The 25185-nt window shown below is 45.0% G+C and overlaps 2 protein-coding genes across 2 annotated transcripts in view, besides 1 other annotated feature; both read right to left on the bottom strand.

The window, feature by feature from the left end:
* The window catches only part of BMERB1 (bMERB domain containing 1), a 153672-nt gene extending 135037 nt beyond the window's left edge, over positions 1–18635 (bottom strand). The window contains exon 1 of the mRNA NM_033201.3: positions 18464–18635. Coding sequence (NP_149978.1) covers positions 18464–18569 — 106 coding nt within the window. The 5' untranslated portion in view covers positions 18570–18635. The remainder of the gene's footprint in view (positions 1–18463) is intronic.
* MPV17L-BMERB1 (MPV17L-BMERB1 readthrough) overlaps positions 1–25185 on the bottom strand; it is a 192506-nt gene that overhangs the window by 135037 nt on the left and 32284 nt on the right. The window lies entirely within an intron of this gene.
* Positions 17709–18331: an enhancer, noted in NCBI's record as "H3K4me1 hESC enhancer chr16:15528749-15529371 (GRCh37/hg19 assembly coordinates)". NCBI's record gives its function as "activates a minimal SCP1, AML or CMV promoter by ChIP-STARR-seq in primed H9 embryonic stem cells {active_cell/tissue: H9 hESC(primed)}" and the evidence as "EXISTENCE:reporter gene assay evidence [ECO:0000049][PMID:30033119]".

The following is a 25185-nucleotide window of genomic DNA, read 5'->3' as shown; positions in this document are numbered from 1 at the left end:
TCAGAATAAAAGCAACGGTGTTTTGGTTTTTTCTTTGTTGTTGTTGTTTTTGAGACAGAGTCTCGTGCTGTTGCCCAGGTAGTTGTGCAGTGGTGCGATCTCAGCTCACTGCAACCTCCGTCTCCCGGATTCAAGTGATTCTCCTGCCCCAGCCTCCCGAGTAGCTGGGATTACAGGCACCTGCCACCACGCCCAGCTATTTTTGTTGTTGTTGTTGTTATTTTTATTAGAGAAGGAAAACCAGTGTCATTCCTTAGTGGTCATCTGCGGGTTCTGTTCTGCAAGCATCCATTGTTCTTTCTCTCATGATAGCACCTCCAATGTCTTGCCATGGGAGAATACACCTCACCCGTGAAATGCTGTCTTAGGGAACTGGCATTCAAGATGCCCTCCTTCCTAGTCAAGGGTTGGGTCTTGATCCTAGCTGGTCCGATACACTTAGGCTAAGTTCTCGCTGTGTTTGGCTTTGACCTTAGCTTAGCTTCTCCCAACCACCATTGTCCTGAGACTGGAGAGGTTCCCTTGCCCGCGAGCAGCAGTTGCAAAGCTGGCAGGAGGCCTTAGGACACAGGGAAAGTTTGTACGAGTCAGCGTTTCTTCTAAAAGTGCTTATTTTAGGAGTTTGCACACACAGGAGATGGGATGATTTGCAAGCAACAGAAATGGACTCTGGTTAACGCAGAGATCTTCTCTGTGTTCTCCCCCAGGTACTTGAATCTTGGGCACAGTGGCTCAGAGATGCAAAAGAGTGGGACTGATTCAGCCAGATGACAGTACCCGGAATTTTCTGCCATCTGGAAATTCCTAGTCACCAAGGTTCCTCTTCTCTCTAAGGTCTGGCTGTTTAGCTTTTTCTTTTTCTTTCTTTCTCTCTCTCTCTCTCTCTCTCTCCCTCCCTCCCTCTCTCTCCCTTCCTTCCTTCTTTTCTTTTTTTTTTTTTAAGAGACAGGGTCTCACTCTGTCTCCCAGGCTGGAGCGCAGTGGCCCAATCATGGCTCACTGTAACCTCAAACTCCTGGGTTCAAGCAATCCTCCTGCCTCAGCCTCTCAAGTAGCTAGGACTACAGGTGCACGCCCCATGACTGGATAATTTTTAGAACTGTTTTGTAGAGATGGGATCTCCCTGTGTTGCCCAGGCTGGTCTCAAACTCTTGCCTCTAGCAATCCTCCCGCCTCAGCCTCCCAAAGTGCTAGGATTTCAGGCGTAAGCCACTGTGCCTAGAGCTATTTTTTGTTTTAAATTCTGGAAGGATTTCCAGATACATTCCTTTTCCTTAAGTTCCTGTACTTTGCAAACTTATTTAAATAAGTTTACTTACTGTGGATCACAGTAAGAAATACTCAGAGAGCCAGATGCAGTGGCTCATGCCTCTAATCCCAGCACTTTGGGAGGCTGAGGCAGGAGGCTCACTTGAGCCCAGGAGTCCAAGACCAGTCTGGGCACTAAAGTAAGACCCTGTCTCTACAAAAAAAAAAAAAAAAAAAAAAATTAGTTAGCTAGCTGGGTGTGGTGACACCCACCTGTAGTCCCAGCTTCTCAGGAGACTGAGGTGGGAGAATCGCTTAAGCCCAGGAATTCAAGGCTTCAGTGAGCCATGATTGCACCACTGCACTCTGGCCTCGGTAACAGAGTGAGCTCCTGTCTCAAAAAAAAAAAAAAAAAAAAAAAAGAAATACTAAGAGTGACCCAGTATGTACATACACACATAGGCATAAGTAAAACAAACGTTGGACAAAATAGGCCGGGCATGGTGGCTCATGCCTGTAATCTCAGCACTTTGGGAGGCTGAGATGGGTGGATCACTTGAGGTGAGGAGTTTGAGACCAGCTTGGTCAATACAGTGAAACCCCATCTCTACTAAAAATTAGCTGGGCATAGTGGCATGCACCTGTGGTCCCAGCTACTCAAGAGGCTGAGGCAGGAGAATCGTTTGAACACGGAAGGTAGGGACTGCAGTAGCAGAGATCACACCACTGTACTCCAGCCTGGGTGAGACTCGCTCCAGAGAGGGAGACTCTGTCTCAGAAAACGAACAAACAAAACAAACAAACGAAAGGTTGCACGGAAATAAGACTTAACTTTAGCAGCATAGATGCAGCTTTCTATTTCCTATTTCCTTCTATTTCATTTTTTTTATGCTGGTTACGCCCCCTTAAACTAATTTAAAGTTTCATGCATGAGGCTTTAAATCTCACACTTGGAAAACCTCTGAGTTTTCCAAAGTTCATTGCTGTTGCTTGCAATAATCCTGTCTCTTGTGTGTGAAAACCCTAAAATGATCATCGATATGATGGAACGTGGAACCTCACAAACTTTTTCTCTTGGGCAATGCAGCAGCATGACAAGCTCTGGCAGCAAAAAGCCACAAATGGTGGTTGGAAGAGCCAAGCATAGCATCGAAGCCAAGCAGCCAGAACTTTCTCCTCCCACAGCAAGCAAAAAGCCAGCTATGGCCGGGCGTGGTGGGTCATGCCTGTAATCCCAGCACTTTGGGAGGCTGAGGCAGATGAATCCTGTGAACCCAGGAGTTCGAGATCAGCCTCAACAACATGGTAAAACCCCATCTCTACTAAAAATACAACAATTAGCCAGGCATGGTGGCTTGTGCCTGTAATCCCGGCTACTCGGGAGGCTGAGGCAGGAGGATTGCTTGAGCCCAGGAGGTGGAGGCTGCAGTGAGCCAAGATCATGCCACTGAACTCCAGCCTGAACAATAGAGCAAGACTCTGTTTCAAAAAAAAAGCCAGCTGTGATGTGAATACCTTTTACATGCCTATTATTTGTCTAGGGTAGGGATCCATGAGCCTTCAGACCAAACCCAGACCAATGCCAGTTTCTCTATGGCCCTTGAGCTAAGGATGACTTCTACATTTTCTTTTCCTTTTTTTTCTTTTTTGAGATGACCTCTACATTTTCAAATGGCTGTGGGAAAACATCAAAAGAATAATAATATTTTATGACATGGGAAAGTTATATAAAATTCAAATTTCAGTGCTCACCAATCAAGCTGAAACAAAACATAGCCACATCCATTCACTTAGGTGCCTGTCTATGGCAGCTTTAGGCTACAGCTTTGGAGTACGGTGGTAGAGCTGAGTGGTCGCAACAGGGGCCATATGACCTGCACACCCTAAAATAGTATCTATCCTTGTACAGAAAAAGTGTATCAGGGCTGGGTGTGATGACACACACCTGTAATCCCAGCACTTTGGGAGGTCAAGGCAGGAAGATCACTTGAGGCCAGGAGTTCAAGACCAGCCTGGGCAACATAGTGAGACCCCATCTCTACCAAAAAAAAAAAAATTTTAAAGAAAACAAAAAAGAAAAATTTGCCCATCTCTAGTCTAAATACTAGATGGAGATTAAAAATAAAGTAGGCTGGGTGCAGTGGTTCATGCCTGTAATCCCAGCACTTTGGGAGGCCGAGATGGGTGGATCACCTGAAGTCAGGAGTTCGAGACCAGTCTGACCAATATGGTGAAAGCTTGTCTCTAGTAAAAATACAAAAATTAGCCAGGTGTGTTGGTGTGCACCTGTAGTCCCAGCTACTCAGCAGGCTGAGGCAGGAGAATCGCTTGAACCTGGGAGGCAGAGGTTGCATTGAGCTGAGATCACACCATTGCACTCCAGCATGGGCGACAGAGCGAGACTCCCTCTCTTAAAAAAAAAAAATTAAAGAAAAAGAAAAAAAATTCAACTTTTATTTTAGACTAAGGAGGTACATGTGCAGGTTTGTTACAAGGGTGTATTTCATGATGCTGAGATCTGGGGTCTGGGTGAAACCATCAGCCAGATAATGAGCAAAGTACCTAACAGGTAGTGTTTCAACTCTTCCCTCCCTCCTTCCTCCCTCTTGTAGTCCCCAGTGTCTGCTGTTCCCACCTTTGTGTCCATTTGTACCCAATGTTTAGCTTCTACTTATAAGTGAGAACACGCATTAGTTCACTTAGGATAATGGCCTCCAGCTGCATCCATGTTGCTGCAAAGACCATAGTTTTACTTTTTTTGCTAGCTGGTGGTATTCCACGGTATATATGTACCATATTTTCTTTATCCAATCCACTGTCAATAGGCACCTAGGTTGATTCCACATCTTTGCTATTGCAGGTAGTGCTAAACGGACCAGTTATTTAACGGGGCCTTATCGTTTTTTTGTTTCTGTTGTTTCAGAAAGACGTGACTTACTCTGAAATGTTATACCTCACCTATGCTGGCATCTAAGAATCAAAAATTTAAGGTGTGTAAAGTACCTAGCCCAGCCTATACCCATCACAACACTGTCACTTGGCTGCCGGTTCCCATTCATGGTACCTATTCCTGTTACTTTGTATCTGATCTGAAAATCTCACATCTTTCCCTCAAAGCAGAAGGCGAGGATGCTAATCTCACGGCAGCATCAGGAACAACTCTTTGTTTTTTCAGTTTTTTTTGAGACAGATTCTTGCTCTGTCGCCTAGGCTTGAATGCAGTAGTGCGATGTCAGCTCACTGCAACCTCTGCCTCCCAGGTTCAAGCGATTCTCATGCCTCAGCCTCCTGAGTAGCTGGAATTACAGGCTTGCACCACCATGCCCAGCTAATTTTTATATTTTTGGTAGATGGGATTTCGCCACGTTTCCCAGGCTGGTCTTGAACCCCTGAACTCAAGTGACCCACCCGCGTGGGCCTCCCAAAGTGCTGCAAATACAGGCGTAAGCCACTGCGCCTGGATGCTGATATTTTTAACTGGTTAAGACCTCAGGCTAATGACAGGGTTTTTCCTTGCCTATCACATTGAGAGCACTTAGAAGACCTTCTTTCCTTCTGAGACATAATAACTACTATGGGTTTCTCCCTTCAAGATTTCTGATCAGCCCCTTCTTTCAAACCCACTGCTCCTGCAGACTCCAGCCCTGCCATGGATATTTGGACATACAGCCCTCATCATGGGATAATTCCAAACCCTCCTAGCTGACCTTCTTATCCCCAGGGCCCCTGACTTTGCATCCAGTTGGTCACCATTGCCAGACAAGCCTTCCTAAAATGCTACTTCCGGCCAGGCGCAGTGGCTCATGTCTGTAATCCCAGCGCGTTGGCAGGCCAAGGCAGGCAGATCACCTGAGGTCAGGAGTTTGAGACCAGCCTGGCCAACAGGGTGAAACCCCATCTCTACTAAAAGTACAAAAATTAGCTGGGCATGGTGGCGGGTACCTGTAATTCCGGCTACTCAGGAGGCTGAGGCAGGACAATCGCTTGAACCCAGGAGGTGGAGGTTGAAGTGAGCCGTGATCACGCCACTGCACTCTAGCCTGGGAGACAACAGCAAGACTCTGTCTCAAAAATAAATAAATAAATAAATGCTACTTCTTTCCCTCCATCCCTTGTCCTCCAATGGCCCCATATTGCCAGTCCTTTTTTAATCCACCAAAGTCTAGTGGTCCTGCTTAACCATCCTTTTTATCTCACAACTCCTCCAATGCAGCGAAGCTCATGCACGCCTCCAGAAATCTCCACGCTCATCGTCACCTCCATTCTTCCTTGAGGTTCACCCACTTAAATTTAACTTCTCTCTCTTCCTTCTCTCCAACTATTCAGATACTATCAGGTCAATTCCCACTTCACATCCTCTTCTATTAACATGATCGCCACCATTTACTGAGAGCACCAGACTCTGTGAAGGGCTTTCATGTATTATTTCATTGAATCTTCTTAATTAGCCTTTGATACGGTTTGGCTGTGTCCCCACCCAAATCTCATCTTGAATTGTAATCTGAATTGTAATCCCCATGTGTGGAGGGAGGGACCTGGTGGGAGGTAATTGGATCATGGGGGCGGTTTCCCCCATACTGTTCTCATGATACTGAGTGAGTTCTCACGAGATCTGGTTGTTTGATAAGTATCTGGTGCTTCCCTCTGTCACTCTCTCCTGCCACCTTGTGAAGAAGGTGCTTGCTTCTCCTGTGCCTTCCGCCATGATTTTAAGTTTCCTGAGGACTCTTCGGCCAGGTGGAACTGTGAGTCAATCAAATCTCTTTTCTTTTCAAATCACCCAGTCTCAGTCTCAGGTAGTATCTTTATAGCAGTGTGAAAACGGACCAATACATCCTTTGGGGCAGATCCTGTTATTATCCCCATTTTACAGATGAGAAAACTGAAATTCAGAGAGGTTAAGTAACTAGCCCAAGATCACGCAACTATTATGAAGTGGTAAAGCCAGGATTCAAATGCAGGCAGAGCTCCTGCTGCCAAACGTTACAGTAATATGCCCCTATATTGACCTAGAAATCCTTCTTGATCATTCAAAGAAAGCCTTTCTTTGTGAAGCTACAAGTCTTCAAAACAGAAAGGCTCTCCCTCCTCCATTTTTGTGAACGTCTTCAACTTCCACTCCAGTTTGACACTGAAGGCACTTTGAAGTGGTGAGATGTAGTCCTCAAGCTTACAAGAGGCATGTTTGTAATGGAAAAGGAAATTAATGAGCCAGAGAACAGAATCAGTTCTAAGAAACACAGAGATGTGTCTAGTTGACATTAAGCATCTATATCAATGGCAGCTTCAACTAATCCTGGGAAATTAGGAAGGTAGCAGAATTAAGTCAACCTGTGCTAGGTTCAAATCTCAGCCCTACCACTTATCAGTGGAGTGACATTGGGCCAATTGCTTAACCTCTGTAAGCCTCAGTTTGCTCCTCTGTAAATAGAACAATAAATGCAATAGATGGCTATATTGTGTCTCATCTCACAGAACGTTTTGTAAGGAGCGGAGGATGCATGTAAAACATGCACACAGTGGCTCATAGGAAGAACTTCATGCATGTTATTTCTTATAATCATTTTCTTTATTTTTTTAGAGACAAGGTCTCACTTTGTTGCCCATGCTGGAGTGCAGTGGTGCAGTCATAGCTCACTGCAGCCTCAAACTCCTGGGCTCAAGAGATTCTCCCACCTCAGCCCCCGGGTAGCTAGGACTACAGGTGCACATCATCACACTCAGCCAGTTTATTTTTTTATTTTTTTGTAGAGATGAGGACTTGCTATGTTGCCCAGGCTGGTCTTGAACTCCTGGGCTCAAGCCATTCTGCCTCAGCCTCCCAAGTAGCTGGGATCACAAGCGTGGGCCACTATGCCCAGCTAACTTTTTTATTTTTATTTTTGTAGAGTTAGAGTCTCGCTTACTTTCTGTCTGTATACAATAGTTTAAGTTTTTAAAATAATTTCATGTCAGCGGACTCATACAGTATGTACTCTTTTCTTTCTTGCTTGCTTCTTTCACTCAGCATGATGATTTTGTGATCCATTTACATAGTGTGTCTTTAGTCTGTTCCTTTTTACTGCTGAGAAGCATTCTGTTGTATGATTATACCATATTTGGGTTGTTTCCAGTTTGGGGCTATTCCTAAAAAAGCTGCTATGAACATTTGTGTACAAATATTTGTAGAGACACTTGCTCTCATTTCTGTTGGGTAAATACCCAGAAGTGCACCGTCTGGGTCCTATGATTGGTGTATGTTTAAATTTTTAAGAAATGACCAAGCCATTTCCCCCCATGTGACATTCCTACCAGCAAGGCATGAGGGTGCCAGTTGATCTACATCCTCTCCAGCACTTAGTATGATCAGTCCTTTTAATTTTAGCCTTTCCAGTGGCTACATATCTCAGTAAGGTTCCAATTTGGTTTTTCCTAACAATTAATGGTGATTCCACATATGTATTTCCTTCTATTCTTTCTTATTAAGGCTCAGCTCTTCCAGAAGTTTTCAGAAGCCCCAGGGTTGGCTAAGCCCCTCCTCTTTGCTCCATTAGCTACCCTGCTGCCAGCCCCCTACTTACTCACACACCCTTATTAAATCAAGTTTACCTTTTTATGTACCTGTTGCCATAGCTGTAAAGCCAATAATATAATAATTAACATTTACTAAACATGTATCATGTACTGACCTCTGTATTGAATGATTTCCAATCTGTGTCTCAAGGAATTCTCAGCTATCCTAAGTAGATACTATTACTGTCACTGTTGTACAGTTGCAGAAACCAAAGCTTAAGAGGTGAAATAACCAGGCGTGGTGGCTCATGCCTATAATCTCAGCACTTCGGGAGGCCAAGACAGGAGGATTGCTTGAGGCCAGGAGTTCAAGACCAGCCTGGGCAACATACCAAGACCCCACCTCTACAAAAAAATTGTAAAAATTAGCCACACGTGGTGGTGTGCACCTGTAGTTCCAGCTACTTCGGAGGCCTAGGCGGGAGGCCTAGGCAGGAGGTTGAGGCTTGCAAGAGCTGTGATTGTGCCACAGCACTCCCATATGGGCAATGGAGCAAGACCCTGTCTCAAAAACTGACTTTGAGAAACTTCTTCAGATTTATATAATTCCTCATGGTTATTATTGAGAACAGATACAGATAGCAAAAGATTGAGGTGGGGGAAAAAAAGGTGAAATAACTCATTCAAAGTCCAGAGCCAGGACATGGCAGAGCCAGGCCTCAAAATAAAAGCTCTCTCGAAAGCCCACACTTATAACCAATAAACTAGAAACCATCTGCTCTTCCATGCAGGACCACCATGTACTCATACTATGAGGCCAGCTCCTCCCACCCAGCCTGGCAGGCATTTCTCAATAAATATCGTCTGCAAAACAGAGCTGAGCCTTCACACTGCTACCATCAATAACATTTAGTGACATGTATTTGTCACCATGCTTTCCTGGCATTATTCTGTTTATTTCTCAGGGGATTAAAGAAATCACTATACCCATTTTACAGATGAGGAAACTGAGGCTTAGGGAAGTTAGGCCAATTGTCCAAGATCACAGTGCTAGGAAGCAGCAGAGGAAGAAATGGACCACAGTAGGACGGAATTCTTAAGGGTGGGGTCAGGACCCATCTAGCTCTGTTCCTCTAAAACAAGTGCACAGGAGACGCCCACAACAAGTGAATAGTGAAGAAATGAATTGATTCTATCTTTTGGGGGAACTTGTGAGTGAAGTACTAAAAGAGGGCCTTTACCTGTGCTGGCTTCCAACCAACCCCCAAGCCCATTCATATAAGTGAACCAGGCAGTCCCAGGATCCATTAAGCCAAGGGGAAAGAAACAGCCAAAAAAAAAAAAAAAAAAAAAAAAAAACAAAGCTGGTGCCTGGACCCTGGCCTTTGGAATATTCACCTCTGTGCCTGGGGCAGACAGCTTACCTGAAATCCCCTTCTCTACACTCTTCCTCTTTTGAAACCCTGTTTAGCCTTCAGGCCCAATGCAAACACCCCTCTTTGCTGTTGGCCTGCAGCTCCCCAGTCACAGCCAATTTCTTTCCTAATTTCACACTTTTTTTTTTGTTTTTGGAGACAGAGTCTCGCTCTGTTGTTCAGGCTAGAGTGCAGTGGTGCAATCTCTGCAACCTCTACCTCCAGGGTGCAAGCGATTCTCGTGTCTCAGGCTCCCGAGTAGCTGGAATCACAGGTGTGCACCACCACATCTGGCTAATTTTTTGTATTTTTAGTAAAGACAGGGTTTCACCATGTTGGCCAGGCTGGTCTCGAACTCCTGACCTCAGGTGATCCTCCCACCTTGGCCTCCCAAAGTGCTGGGATTACAGGCTCGAGCCACCATGCCTGGCCCACACTTGTACTTTTCATTTAGCATGTGTTTCATTATACTGCTTTATAAGTTGCGGTGGATTTTTTGTTTTTGTTTTTGTTTGTTTGTTTGTTTTTTGAGATAGGGCCTCACTGTCGCCCAGGCTGGAGTACAGTGGTGCCATCTTGGCTCACCACAGCTTCCGGGCCCCCCAGGCTCAAGCGATTCTCTCACCTCAGCCTCCCAAGTAGCTAGCACCACGTCCAGCTAATTTTTTGTATTTTTGGTAGAGACAGGGTTTCGCCACATTGCCCAGGCTGGTCTCAAACTCTGGGGCTCAAGTAATCCTCCCTGCCTGGGCCTACCAAAGTGCTGGGATTACACATGAGAGCCACCGCACCCAGCCTGTGGTGTTTTTTTTTGAGACAGGGTCTCAGGTCTTGCTCTGTCGCTCAGGCTGGAGTCCAGTGGTGCAATCTCAGCTCACTGTAACCTCTGCCTCCCCGGTTCAAGTGATCCTCCTGCCTCAGCCTCCAGAGTAGCTGGGATTACAGATGCATGCCACTATGCCTGGCTAATTTTTGTATTTTTGGTAGAGATGGGGTTTCACCATGTTGCTCAGGCTGGTCTTGAACTCCTGATGTTAAGTGATCCACCAGCCTCGGCCTCCCAAAGTGCTGGGATTACAAGTGTGAGCAACCACGCCCGGCCCTGTGGTGTTCTTTATGGCTGTGTCTCTCACTCCAAATCTGTAAACCTTTTAAGAGTGAAGGCTGGGATTCTGTCTTATTCCATCTCTAATCTCTACAGCACCCAGCACTGAACCAAGAATAACAGACAGTGGATAGGAACATCCAGAGGCAGAGAGGGCTTAGAATCAGGCTCCAGCCCTACCACCTTCTAGCTTTATGCCTTTCAGCAAGTTTCTTAACCCCCTGAAACCTCGGTTTCCCCATGTTTAAATGGGAATAATAATTCTCCTTATGTCATAGGGCTGTTATGAGAATTTAATAAGCTCAAGTTCATAGCTAAAACTCATTGAATGGATATTATTATTAATATGTGTTTAATAACTAATCAGTCCAAGAATAGGCATGATTAATTTTTTCTTCAATTAACACAGGAGGAAACTCTTGCAAAAATAAAACATAATGTTATGAGCAAAGTTATGAGCAGACATTACTCAACTGTGTAAATAATTGGGCTTGTTCAAAGTACATTCTAGATACTATCATATTTGTAATATTTATATCACTGCTATAATAGTTTTGCAATAACTTACATAGTTGCCTGTCAAGAGACAGTGCAGAATCTATCCCTCTCCTAATTCTTTTTTTTTTTTTTCTTGAGACAGTGTCTCACTCTGTCGCCCAGGCTGGAGTGCAATGGTGTGACCTCAGCTCACTGCAAGCTCTGCCCCCTGGTTCAAGTGAGTCTCCCGCCTCAGCCTCCCGAGTAGCTAGGATTACAGGCATGCGCCACCACGCCCAGCTAATTTTTGTATTTTTGGTAGATGTGGGGTTTCACCATGTTGCCCAGGCTGGTCTCAAACTCCTCACCTCAGGTGATCCACCTGCCTCGGTCTCCCAAAGTGCTGGGATTACAGGCTTCAGCCACTGTGCCCGGCCTCCCTCTCCTAAGTCTTAACCAGGTGCTTGATCTTCCAGAGGACAACCCATGGGGCCCTTGTCACACCTTTCACACTCAAGGAAACTGCCACCACTTCTCCAAAATAAAATTGATTAGGAAGGAATCACGGACTATATCAAATGCTGCTTGCATTGATCATCACTTGCCCCGCTATGGACTTATTCCCCATCTAGTACCCAACATGACCCTTTAAAAACAAAAACCAGGCTGGGCGCAGTGGCTCTTGCCTGTAGTCCCAGCCCTTTGGGAGGCTGAGACAGGCAGATTGCTTTTGAGCCCAGGAGTTCAAGACTAGCCTGGAAACACAGCAAAACCCCATCTCTACCAAAAATTCACAAACTAACAGGGCTGCTGGGCATCGTGGCTCACGGCTGTAATCCCAGCATTTTGGGAGGCTGAGGCAGGTGGATCACTTGAGGTCAAGAGTTCGAGACCAGCCTGACCAACATGGAAAAACCCCATCTCTACTAAAAATACAAAAATTAACCAGGCATGGTGGTGGGCACCTGTAATCCCAGCTACTTGGGAGGCAGAAGAATCGCTCGGACCCAGGAGGCAGAGGTTGCAGCAAGCCAAGATCACACCACTGCACTCCAGCCTGGGCAAGAGAACGAGACTCTGTCTTAATTTTTTTTTTTTTTAATGGGCTCTAGAGGCATGCGAACTTGTAGTTCCAGCTACTCAGGAGGCTGAGGCGGGAGAATCCATTGAGCCCAGGAGGTTGAAGCTGCAGTGATCCGAGATCTCACCACAGCACTCTATCCTGGGTGACAAGCGAGACCCTGTCTCAAAAACAAAAAACCTCAAAAAACATAACAGTTCATGTTAGTCCCTTGATTAAAATTTTTTAGCAGTTTCTCCTGCAATGAGAATAAATTTCAGACTTTTTGTTTGTTTGTTTTAATCACAACCTAAAAGGCCCTACCTAGTCTGGCTTCCCTCTGATTCATCTGCCCTTCACCCTGACTCACTGGGTTCCAGCCACCCTGGCCTTCTGTCTCTTCCTCTAGCACAAGGCCTTTACGTTTACTGCCTGGATTCCTGCTATTGATACAGCAAAATGTCACCTCCTTAGAGAAGCGCTTCCTGAACACCAAATGAAAAGTACCCCTTCCCTATTAATGCCCATGAAACATTTACTATGACCTAAACCATCTTACTTGTTTGCTTATGTAATATTTGACGCCTTCACTCTCAACCCAGGTCTTAACTTCCCCTAAACAGAAGCTTTATGTGGGCAGGGACTTTGTCGAGAAATCTCAAGACTGTACCTGCAGCCCCTAGAACACTTCCTGGCACTTGTAAGGCACTCAGTACCTATTTATGGAGTGAATAAATGGGATCTGGGGAGCAAATGATGGTCGTTTTTTACTTTTTATTTTCATATTTCAGATGAATTCAAATTTTTTATAAAGTACATGTATTACTTCTAGAATCAGAAAAAAAGAAATGATGCAAAACCAAAATAAAATAATAAAATGAGCATATGTAACCAAACAGAAGATAGTTCAAACCTTTCCCCAAGAATCTATTATATAGATTGCCAGCAATTTGCATTATTTCAGCCTCCACACTGTTTATGAAACCTGAAACGCTGGCCAGTTTTACGATCTGCTTGTTAGTCAGTACACAACTTTGAACTTTTAAATAGTAGTCATCTCCCCCGGGCTTATGGAAAGATTGCAGTTTGAGCTCTCTACTTCATTCCAATCTCCTACTCATAGAGCATTTATTTCCAGCACTATGTCTGTGTTGATTTTTTTTTTTTTTTTTTTTTTTTTTGAGATTAAGTCTTGCTCTGTCACCCAGGCTGGAATGCAGCCGTCCAATCTCGGCTCACTGCAACCTCTGCCTCCTGAGTACAAGCAATTCTCTCACCTCAGCCTCCCTAGTAGCTGGGACTATAGGCGCCCATCACCACGCCTGGCTAATTTTTGTATTTTTAGTACAGACAGGGTTTCACCATGTTGGGACAGCTGGCCTCGAACTGCTGACCTCAAGCGATCCGCCCACCTCAGCCTCCCAAAGTGCTGGGATTACAGGCATGAGCCACCACACCCAGCCAGTTGATGCTATTACCTCTCCTGGCATTCCCCTCTCCCGCCTCCAACTCCTCCATTTCCCCTGTCCAAAATCTTGATCATCCTTTAAGACACATACAAATCTATCAAGAAATGGCCACAACAGAGACAACTGTGTTTCTGAAAAGCTCTGCGCTTTTTCAAAAGGCACCTTGTCTGCATGTCTCCCTCAATTAATTACACTTGGTTGAAAGCAGTATTTTTATATATCTAACCACGCTGAAATGTCACTATACATTTTCCAGCTGAGCGGGGAAAAAACCTCCCTGCTAGTGGAAAAACGCTGTTGAAGGTGGCTGGGAGCAATTACTTTGAACCTTTCTCAAAGGAGAAAATACTAGATGGTTTGTAAGGGTGCAGAAGCCTTTCTCCACATGTTCCCATGAGGAAGGCAGTATGTACAGAATCATTAACCAGAATTTACTAAGAAATGGAAGCAATGAAAAGCTGTAACTGGTGAGTTTGGGATAACCTCTGCAAATATTGCTGGGGCAATCCCCTTCTGTCCTCCTATGACAACCATTCAACCTTGATTGAGCGCTTTCAGCATGTGAGGCCCTGTGCTAAATGCATTATATACATTATCTCATCTAATCTTCCAAGAGTCCGAAGTGCGCATTACTACAATTATCCCCATTTCACAGATGAGGCAACTGACACACAGAGACCTTGAGCAATTTTCCCAGGGTCACAAATCTACCAAGTGACAGCTGAATGAGGCTGGTTTGAACTCATTCAGCCTAACTTCAAAACGTTCCTTCTTTGCTACTCTGATATAGCACATTACATATCTTTTATCTAAAAACTATAGTTGAAATTTAAAATAGCAGTCAACACAATCTTAACTAAAAAAGACCAGTTCTGCAGTCTCCCTCCCCTCTTCAATTCTGTTTAATTTACACCTACTCAGTGTTTAACATAAAATATTTTAAAATGTGTGGAAGTTAAACAGAGCATGTCTTCTTTTTAAGGGGACTCTTCTTTTCTCCAGCATTTCATGTGTTACAACATTGGCTTGGCAATTGTCATGCCATAGAAACAAAAGTACTAATTTTCACACTTAATAAATAAATGGAGGGCCCAGGCTTTATGGAATGGATCCATAGATACCCTGAGAGTTGAAAGAGTGTTCCAAAAAAGGTTTAATCAAACACCCCCTGCGTGCAAACACGCATCTAGAAAACAGGCCCAGGCATGGTAGCTCACATCTGTAATCACGGCCCTTTGGGAGGCCAAGGAGGGCAGATCACTTGAGGCCAGGAGTTCGAGACCAGCCTGGCCAACATGGTGAAACCCCATCTCTAGTAAAAATACAAAAATTAGCCGGACGTGGTGGTGCATGCCTGTAATCCCAGCTACTCGGGAGGCTGAGGCGGGAGAATTGCTTGAACCTGGGAGGCAGATGTTGCAGTGAGCTGATTGTGCCACTGCACTCCAGCCTGGGCGACAGAGCAAGACCCTGTCTCAAAAAAAAAAAAAAATAGTCTAGAAAATAAAACTTGCCAGATTCAAGTTTCAAAAGTTAGACTCTGGATCCACGTTTTAAGAATTTCAGCTTTCGCCAGGTGTGGTGGCTCATGCCTGTAATCCCAGCACTTTGGAAGGCTGAGGTGGGTGGATCACCTAAGGTCAGGAGTTCAAGACCAGCCTGGCCAACATAGTGAAAACCCCTCTCTACTAAAACTACAAAAATTAGTTGAGCGTGGTGGCAGGCGCCTGTAGTCCCAGCTACTTGGGAGGCTGAGGCAGGAGAATGGCTTGAACCTGGGAGGCGGAGGTTGCAGTGAGCTGAGATCATGCCACTGCACTCCAGCCTGGGGGACAGAGTGAGACTCCATCTCAAAAAAGAAAAGAAAAACCAGATTTGAGGATCCACGCAAGTACAGATCAGGAGCTGTTCCTCTTGCCTTTGACTAGGAAGCAAGACTGAGTCTTTGATGGTTTGAAACAGAGGGTAAGAAGGACTTTATACCAGACTCTTTTTTTTTGAGAGGGAGTCTCACTCTGTCACCCAGGCTGGAGTGCAGTGGTGCAATCTCGGCTCACTGCAAGCTCCGCCTCCCAGGTTCACGCCATTCTCCTGTGTCAGCCTCCCCGGCAGCTGGGACAATAGGCGCCCACTGCCACACCCAGCTAATTTTTTGTATTTCTAGTATAGATGGGGTTTCACCGTGTTAGCCAGGATGGTCTTGATCTCCTGACCTTGTGATCCGCCCGCCTCGGCCTCCCAAAGTGCTGGGATTGCAGGCGTGAGCCAATGCGCCTGGCCTTATACCTGACTTTTAACAGTGTGCAGCATAGGACCCAGAAGTACAAAAATTTCAGGATTGAAACTGCTGTAAATTGGGTGCTTGCTGCAATTTTCCTGCATGTTTCAAATTTTTTCTCATAAAATGTTAAGATATAAAAAGCTACAAGGGCATTATTGAAGAATTGACCAATATTTACATAATTCCTTGCAAAGAGTAAAAGCAGGTTCTGTCTATAAATGTTGTGCAGTAACCGAATGGAAGTGAACAATACGTATTGAGCACTTAACCTTGAGTACTATATGTATCATCTTATTTAGTATACACAATAAAGACATAATCTCTATTTTCAGAAAATGAAGGCAGAGTGAGGCTTAGCAATACTCCTAAAGTCACATAGCCAGCAAGGCACAGAGTGAGGATTCAAAGCAGCACTCTTGTGAACAGCTTCCATTCTGCGTGGACCCAGCATTTTTTTAAGGCCTCTGTGAGCTTCAGAGAGCAACAGGGCTGCCACATAATTATAAAATCACTGAGCATGTTCTGTGACTATCTCAATAGACTTAGGAAGTTTTCTGAAACCATGAAAGCAATAAACCTTCATGTTAAAAGCAGGCTCTGGGGTCCAACAGACCGGGGTTCAAATCCTGGTTCTGCCACTTAACTGTCAGATCACCTAACAAGTCCCAGTTTTGTTTTGTTTTTTTAAATCTATGCAAGATTTTAAATTTATATTTAAATTTTTTATTTTAAAATGTTTTGTTTTAAAATTTTTATTTTAAAATGTTTTTTTAAATCTAGGCAAGATTTAAATTTATAAATCTTAGTACTGCAGGAGGTTGTTGAGGGGACTAAATGAAATGATGCATTTAGAGTTCTCAGCACATGGTCATCTAGCAATAAAAGGCAGCCATTGTTGAGATTATTTTGAGCTTGTAAGAAACAAGAGACCCTCATGGAGATACAGAGTAGAATGATGGTTACCAGAGGCTGGGGAGGGTATTGGGATGGGGGGACACAGAGATGGTTAATGGGTACAAAAATATAGGTAGATAGAATGAATAAGATCTAGTATCTGATAGCACAACACGATGACTACAGTCAACAATTTATTGTACATTTAAAAATAACTAAAAGAGGGCAGGTGGGGTGCCTCACACCTGTAATCCCGGCACTTTGGGAGGCCAGGGCAGGCCGATCACCTGAGGTCAGGAGTTCGGGACCAGCCTGCCCAACATGGTGAAACCCCATCTCTACTAAAAATACAAAAGTTAGCCAGGCATGGTGGCGAGCACCTGTAATCTCAGCTACTCTGGAGGCTGAGGCAGGAGAATCGCTTGAACCCAGGAAGTGGAGGTCGCAGTGAGCCGAGATTGTGTCATTGCACTCCAGTCTGGGCAACAAGAGCGAAACTCCGTCTCAAAAAAAAAAAAAAAAAAGCTAAACTAAAAGAGTATAATTAGTCACACAGCTGGGCTTTTTTAAAAAAGGAGTGTAATTGGATTGTTTGTAACACAAAAAAAAGGATAAATGCTTGAGGTTTTGGATACCCCGTTTACCCTGATGTGATTATTACACATTGTATGCCTGTATCAAAATATCTCATGTATTCCATAAATATGGACACCCACTATGTGCACTTAAAAATTAAAGAAAGAAACAGAGACCCTCAGCCCTGACGCCCTGATATTATGCCAAAGCACCAAGTCATTGGGTCTTGAAAGGATGAACTAGAAAGAAAGACCAAGGTTAAAAAGGGAGAAAAAAAAAGAAAAGGAAAGAGGTTGGCAGTGCTATGACATCCATCCTAGCCCATGAACCACTAAGACATTGGATTGTGATTTCAACTTCAACCCGTCAGAATCAGAACACAGTTGAGCCCTTCTAGGAAGATTTTCTAAATCCATAATTACAGGTATAGAGAAAGAAAGCGCGCACACACAATTTTCCACCAGGTGAGGACAGAATAAGATCACATTCACAATACTTTAGCCCTACATCGCTCAGAGATCCGTGCTGGGGCAGAGCGCGGAGCAGTGACCCAGAGCCGAGGCAGGAAGCTGCCGGGTCCCTGAGAAGGACCTCTCCTTCCCAGCCTGGTGGGCAAGCCATGTGAGAGCAGCGGCTTTGGGGAGCCCCCGGGTTTGCAGGGACCTCCAGTGACCCTGGAGCCCCTGACGCTGCCTCTACACTTTGAGGGCAGGAGTTTCAACTATTGTATCCTATTAATGAAAAACAAAATCCTTCGTTTACTTAGAAATGTTGACATCCAAACACCGCAGAGAGAACCAGTAAATAAATACAGCCGGTCTATTTCGAAACTGCCTTCTAGAGTTGTGCCCAAGCAGACTTTAACTGAGTCAAGAGAGAAAAGAGAACGGTGTGTGCCTTTTGACCCTTTTGCCGCCCCAAGCCTCCCACCCCGACCCAAGGAAGGCGAGGGAGGAAAAGCTGGGAATTTCAGGTGCGCTCCGAAACCTCACGCAGGGGGTAGGAAAGCAAGCGGAAAACCAGCAGACACTCCCCCCTCTCCAGGGACGTGGGCGCTTTCCAGGACGGTCCCGCGTCTCCAGCGCCCTGGCGCATCCCAGGCGGAGAGAGGATCCTCCTCCCTGGGCTGTGGGAGAGACCCGACTTCACAGGACCAGCTGCGAGCTGACGGATCCGGGACTCCTAAGTCGAGCCCAGGCTCCTGCCTTAGCTGCCTGGCCATCTCCCAACCCTCCCAGTGAGGCTCAGCCCGGAGGGTCCCCCCCTTTTGTTCGCGGGGAGAGCGCGTCGCTGCGCAGAGCTGCGTATCCCCCTGAGCTGCCAGCCCCGCTGCGGGGGCGCTTCCCTGGGTCCACTGCTGGCGTTCCTCGCGCTCCCGCGACCACCCGCGCAGGCGCATGGATCCCCAGCTGTCCCCGGCCCCCCGCCCCCCGCCCCAGTACTCACTTCTCCCCAGTCTCTCCGTTTTCCAAGCCGTCTCCTCCACCGCCCCATAGCGCCTCAGAGGCTTCTCGGCTTCCAGATGGGTGGACAAAGATTGCTTTAATTCCATCGCTGATCCCCGTGGCCAGGTCGACGGGTCTCCCTTTACTCCATTCCCGTTGCGGGCTGCAGGGAGGGAGGTGGCTCCAGCCAGCAGCGTTTTAACGGGCCGGGCGCCCGTGACGCTGCTCCCTCTCCTCCGCCGCCGCCAGCGCCCGGGAGCGCCTACGGGTACCCAGAAGGGGCAGGGATGCACGGCACATGCGCAGTGGAGGCTTGGAGGGGAGGCTTGGGGGCTGGGTAGGGAGACAGAGGGGCAGGTGATAACTCTAAGAAAAACAACAAACAAAACAACTAAAATAAAAGCAACACAAAGGAAGTGAGAACAAGGCCCCTGCCTATTCTAGAGCCCCTAGTGATGCTTGGCATGGGGCTGGCACTGTGGGCGGCTTGCGAGCTGTAAGCCGGCAGCGGGTTTTGAGTGGGATTGGTGAGCCCGTCTCTACCTGCGGGCGATGCATCCGTCTTTCTGGGGAGCATGCAGAGGCGTGAGTGTGGACCTAGATCTATGGGTTCTGGGCTTGGCTGACTGCTTTTCTGTGAGAATATCTGTCGTGTGCGTCTGTTTAATTTGAAGTGCGACAGTGGATGCCTATGTCAGTTCCATATGTGTTTGCATGCACTTTGGGGAGAGAGAGAGAGAGATGAAAATATTTTGCACACAGGTATAGCAGAGCTGTTTGGAGCATGGGGCTTTACTTTCCAGAAACCCCAGAGGTTTATCTTTAAAAACAAACAAACAAACAAACAAAAAACACCATGGCAGTGCCTGGGCACGATGGCTCATGCCTGTAATCCCAGCACTTTGGGAGGCCGAGGTGGGTGGATCACTTGAGGCCAGGAGTTTGAGACTAGCCTGGCCAACATGGTGAAACCCCATCTTTACTGAAAATACAAAAATTAGCCAGCTGTGATGGCGCAGGCCTGTAATTCCAGCTACTCGGGAGGCTGAGGCAGGAGAATCGCTTGAACCTGGGAGGCAGAGGTTTCAGTCATCCGAGATCATGCCATTGCACTCCAGCCTGGGCAACAAGAGGAAAACTCCGTCTCAAAAAAAGAAAAGAAACGAAAAAAAGAAAATGATATCCCAGTAGGAAACAGGGAAAGAATATGAATAGTCATGTCATGTGGGCAGAGGAGGAAGGCCTAATGTGAGAAGCTGCTCAACCCCCTTAGTAATAAGGAAAATGAAAATGTAAATAAGAATATATCATCCGATAGGCAAAAACTAAAAAATCTAACAATCATGTGTTGTAAAAGATGTGGATTTTTTTTTTGAGACAGAGTCCAAAAATGCTGGGGTTACAGATGTGAGACACCATGCCTGGCATAATTTGAACTTTTATCTAATGCTAGTGGGAGTATAAATTGGTACAACTGTTTTTTTCTCTCTGTCACCCAGGCTGGAGTGCAGTGGCATAGTCTCGGCTCACTGAAACCTCCACCTCCTGGGTTCAAGCTCCTGAGTAGCTGCGACTACAGGCGTGCCACCATGCCCAGCTAATTTTTTGTATTTTTAATGGAGATGTGGTTTCACCATGTTGGCCAGGCTGGTCTCGAACTCCTGAGCTCAAGTGATCTGCCCGCCTTGGTCTCCCAAAGTGCTGAGACTACAGGAATGAGCCACTGTGCCTGGCTGCATGAATGTAATGTTTATTGTTCTCAGGTATATATGTATAACTCTACAAATTATATATAATAGCGCTATTTAACATTTTCTTATAATTTATACAAATGATATCATACTTTATAATTCTGCAAGTTGCTTTTTTCTGTTGTTGTTCCACAATATGCTTTTCTTCCTTTTAAAAAGATAGAGACAGGTTTTCACTGTGTTGCTCAGGCTGGTCTTGAATTCCTGGGCTCAAGTGATCCACCTGCCTCAGCCTGCCAAAGTGCTAGGATTACAGGCGTGAGCCACCGTGCCCGGCCCACATTATGCTTTTGAGAAATACGAATTCTGATTCATGTAACTCTGGTTCATAGTCTACTGTATAGTATTCTACATGAATGAACCATAATTGGTCTATTTTTTCATTGATGAGGTATAAAGATTATTCCCAATTGTCCACAATTACAAACATGGCAGCAGCAAATGTTTTTATACTCATTTCCCTGTACGACTGAATAGGAGTTTTTCTAGGGGGAAAAATTACAATGGCATGGGGTATGCACATCTGCCAGTTGGACTAGAGTGTCAACCTGCTTTTAAAATTAGTTGTACCAGGCCAGGCACAGTGGCTCACGCCTGTAATCCCAGCACTTTGGGAGGCTGAGGCGGGCGGTTAGTCTGAGGTCAGGAGTTCGAGACCAGCCTGGCCAACATGCTGAAACCCCGTCTCTACTAAAAATACAAAAAAAAAAAAAAAAAAAAAAATTAGCCGGGCCTGGTGGCGCACACCTGTAATTCCAGCTACTCAGGAGGTTGAGGCAGGAGAATCACTTGAACCCGTGGGACGGAGGTTGCAGTGAACTGAGATCATGACACTGCACTCCAGCCTCAGTGACAGTGAGACGCTGTCTCAAAAAAAAAAAAAAAAAACAATAAACATTACATTCAGGATAGTAATTACTTTAGGAGGCTGGGAAAGGGTAAGTAGTTAGTTTCAGCTATATCTAAAATTTATATATTTTTAAACTATTTACAGTATTTTGAAAATTTTTAAATCTACAGAAAAGTTGCAAGTTTAGTACAATAAGAAAAATACAGACCTTGGCCAGGTGCGGTGGCTCATGCCTATAATCCCAGCACTTTGGGAGGCTAAGGTGGGAGGAATCCTTGAGCTCAGGAGTTCGAGACCAGCCTGGGCAGCAAAGCAGTTTTCCATCTCTACAAAAATTAAAACATTAACCAGGTGTGGTGGCACACACCTATAATTCCAGATACTCAGGAGGCTGAGGTAGGAGGACTGCTTGGGCCTGGGAGGTCGAGGCTACAGTGAGGCAAGACCACACCACTCTACTCCAACCTAGATGACAGAGTGAGACCCTGTCTCCAAAATACACACACACACACATATATATATATAGTTTGTGTGTGTATATATACAGTATGTGTATATATACGTTATTTTATATAATATGTATGTTATTTTCTTGTATATGTGTGTGTATATATACAATATATATATATATACACACGCACACACATCCCTTACTAGATTCACTAATGAATATTTAAATTTATATTTCTTAAAAGAGATCTGAAGCATATATGTTAAAATCTGTTGGAGATGGCTGGTGGGCACTACACCCTTACCAGAATGACTAAAATTAAAAAGACTGACAATACCAAATGTTAGTCCAGATGCTAGTAAATAAATGAGTTAGCAGTTAGTAAGAATGTAACTACAATTTATTGCTGTTCGGAGTATAAAATGGTACTACCACTTTAGAAAATGAGAGATAATGGCTGGGCGTGGTGACTCACGCCTGTAATCCTAGCACTTTAGGAGGCTGAGGTGGGCGGATCACCTGAGGTCAGGGGTTCAAGACCAGCCCAACATGGCAAAACCTCGTCTGTGCTAAAAAAATTCAAAAATTAGCCAGGCGTGATGGCACATGCCCGTAATCCCAGCTACTCAGGAGACTGAGGCAGGAGAATCGCTTGAACCCGGGAGGCAGAGATTGCAGTGAACTGAGATTGCGCCACTGCATTCCAGCGTGGGCGACAGAGTGAGACTGTCTCAAAATAAAAAAGAAAGAAATAAAAAAAGACTGGCAATACCCTCTAAAGCTACAAATACATATATATTTTTCTGTCTGGCAGCAATTCTATTCCTGGATATATCCCTAAGAGAAATACATACTTGTGTCCACCAATGTTAAGAGCTTTACTCATAATGACAAGAAATGAAAACAACTCAAATGTCTATCAACAATAGAATGGACAAAAATTATGCTATATTCATACAACTGAATCTGCACAGCAACGAAAAAGACCAAACTACTGGCCAGGCACAATGGCTCACACCTGTAATCCTAGCACTTGAGGAGGCTGAGGTGGGCAAATCGCTTGAGCCCAGGAGTTCGAGACCAGCCTGGGCAACATGGCAAAATCCCTTCTCTACAAAAAATACAAAAATTAGCCAGGCATGGGTGGTGTGTGCCTGTAGTCTTAGCTACTCAGGAGGCTGAGGCAGGAGGATCACTTGAGCGTGGGAGGTTCAGGCTGCAGTGAGCCGTGATCATGCCACTGCACTCCAGCCTGGGCCACAGAGTGAAACCCTGTCTCACAAAAAAAAAAAAAAAAAAACAAACAAATTACTACCAACAAAATGGATGAATCTTACAGACATAATATATAAATAAAAGGGTGTGTATCCCTTAAAAGACGGTTGGTGCATTTAGGGATCTTTGTCATGTAATTATCTCTACATTAAAATATTTTATAATTTAAAAAAGAAAAAATACATCTATTGGATCTAAAAATTCAACTCATGGAAATCTACCCGAAGGAATATCTGAATTACTAAAAATACATTCACACAATATATTTTTTTTACAATTTATGTAAACTGTAGAAAAAATTAGAAAAGGGTCAGTATCTTACAAAAGGGAAATGGCTAAACTTATGGTATGCCTGCAATGTAACACTGTACACTTATTTAAAATGATGTTTACAAAGAAATGTAATAGGGAAATGTCATAGGGAAAACATAGCACAATTTAATCAAAATATCAGGAAAAGTAGAATACAAATTGTAATATAAAGTGTGAGCTGTCATTCTGGATCTTTTGGCTAAGATCAAGTGCACACTGTAATCTCAATCATATTTTATAGAATGATAATGGTAGAAATTTAAAAATACTGTGATTCCTTTTTTTTTTTTTTTTTGAGACAGAGTCTCGCTCTGTCACCCAGGCTAGCGTGCTGTGGTGGGATGTCGGCTCACTGCTCACCTCCCGGGCTCAAGCAGTCCTCCCGCCCAGGCCTCCTTAGTAGCTGGGACTACGGGTATGCACCACCTTGCCCAACTAATTTTTGTATTTTTAGCGGAGATGTAGTTTTTGCCATGTTGCCCAGGTGGGTCTTGACCTCCTGGCCTCAGGTGATTCTCTTGCCTCTGCCTCCCAAAGAGCTGGGATTACAGGCATGGGCTACCACACCCGGCTACTGTGATTCCAATTTTACCTGTTTACGTATATACAAACATGTATACACATCCAGGGTGAAAAAACACTAAAATGTCATACACCAAAATATTGATAGTGACTACCTATGTATGTCATGATAATAAATGTTTTGTTTGTATTCTCCAATGTTTCTACAAAGTATACGTATTACTTTTATTTATTTGAGATAGTCTCACTCTGTTGCCCACCCTAGAGTACAGTGGCACGATCTTGATCTCGGCTTATTGTAACCTCCACCTGCCAGGTTCAAGCAATCCTCCCACTTCAGCCTCCTAAGTAGGTGGGAGTGTAGGTGCCCACCACCACACCCAGCTAATGTTTGCATTTTTAGTAGAGATGAGGTTTCACCATGTTGGCCAGGCTCGTCTCAAACTCTTGACCTCAAGTGATCTGCCCACCTTGGCCTCCCAAAGTGCTGGGATTACAGGCATGAGCCACCAAGCCCGGCCTGTATTACTTTTATAATCAGAAAAGAAATCAGGCTAGGTGCAGTGGCTCACACCTGTAATCCCAGCACTTTGGGAGGCCGAGGCAGGAGGATTGCCTGAGGCCAGGAGTTCAAGACCAGCCTGAGGAATACAGCAAGACCCTGTCTCTACCAAAAAAAAAAAAAAAAAATTAGCCAGCTGTTGTGGCATACACCTATAGTCCCAGCTACTCGGGAGGTTGAGGTGAGAGGATTGCTTGAGCCCAGGAGGTTGAGACTGCAGTGAGTGAGCTATGATCGTGCCACTGCACTCCTGCCTGGGCTACAGAGTGAGTCTCTGTCTCTAAAATATAAATAAATAATGGTGGTTTGTTTTTTTTTTGAGACAGAGTCTTGCTCTGTCGCCTAGGCTGGAGTGCAGTGGTGCTATATTGGCTCACTGCAAGCTCTGCCTCTCGGGTTCACACCATTCTCCTGCCTCAGCCTCCCGAGTAGCTGGGTCTACGGGCACCCGCCACCACGCCCGGCTAATTTTTTGCATTTTTAGTAGAGACGGGGTTTCACCGTGTTAGCCAGGATGGTCTTGATCTCCTGACCTCATGATCCGCCCACCTCAGCCTCCCAAAGTGCTGGGATTACAGGCGTGAGCCACCACGCCCAGCAATAAATAATGGTTTTAAGGTATGAAAAATAAAATGACTAGCAGTAAATACAAGAGAATATTAACAATGGTTGTTTCTAGAGTTGAAATTTGGGAAAGATTTTTTTTTAATTTTATGAATTTTCCAACCATCTATATTGAGCCCATATTGTTTTAGAATTCAAAAACGAATACATTTCATTTCTAAAAGTGTGTAATACAATTCCACAATCCTAGAGGACAAACTATCCCTGCCACCACAGTCCCCAGAACCCTGTCTGTTTGCATTAGCATAGGGTGATAATGCTTCAAGTTCAGTAACTGGCTGAAGTCACCATCTGCATGGAAGTATTAAGCAGCAACACCCCCCCACACCCTCCCCTTCACCCCCTCACCCCCCCGCCACCGCCCCCGAGCCCTGGC

Source organism: Homo sapiens, chromosome 16, assembly GCF_000001405.40.
Source record: "Homo sapiens chromosome 16, GRCh38.p14 Primary Assembly".
Taxonomy (NCBI): domain Eukaryota; kingdom Metazoa; phylum Chordata; class Mammalia; order Primates; family Hominidae; genus Homo; species Homo sapiens.
Note: the sequence above shows the minus strand (reverse complement) of the source record. Positions and strands in the feature narration are given on the sequence as shown.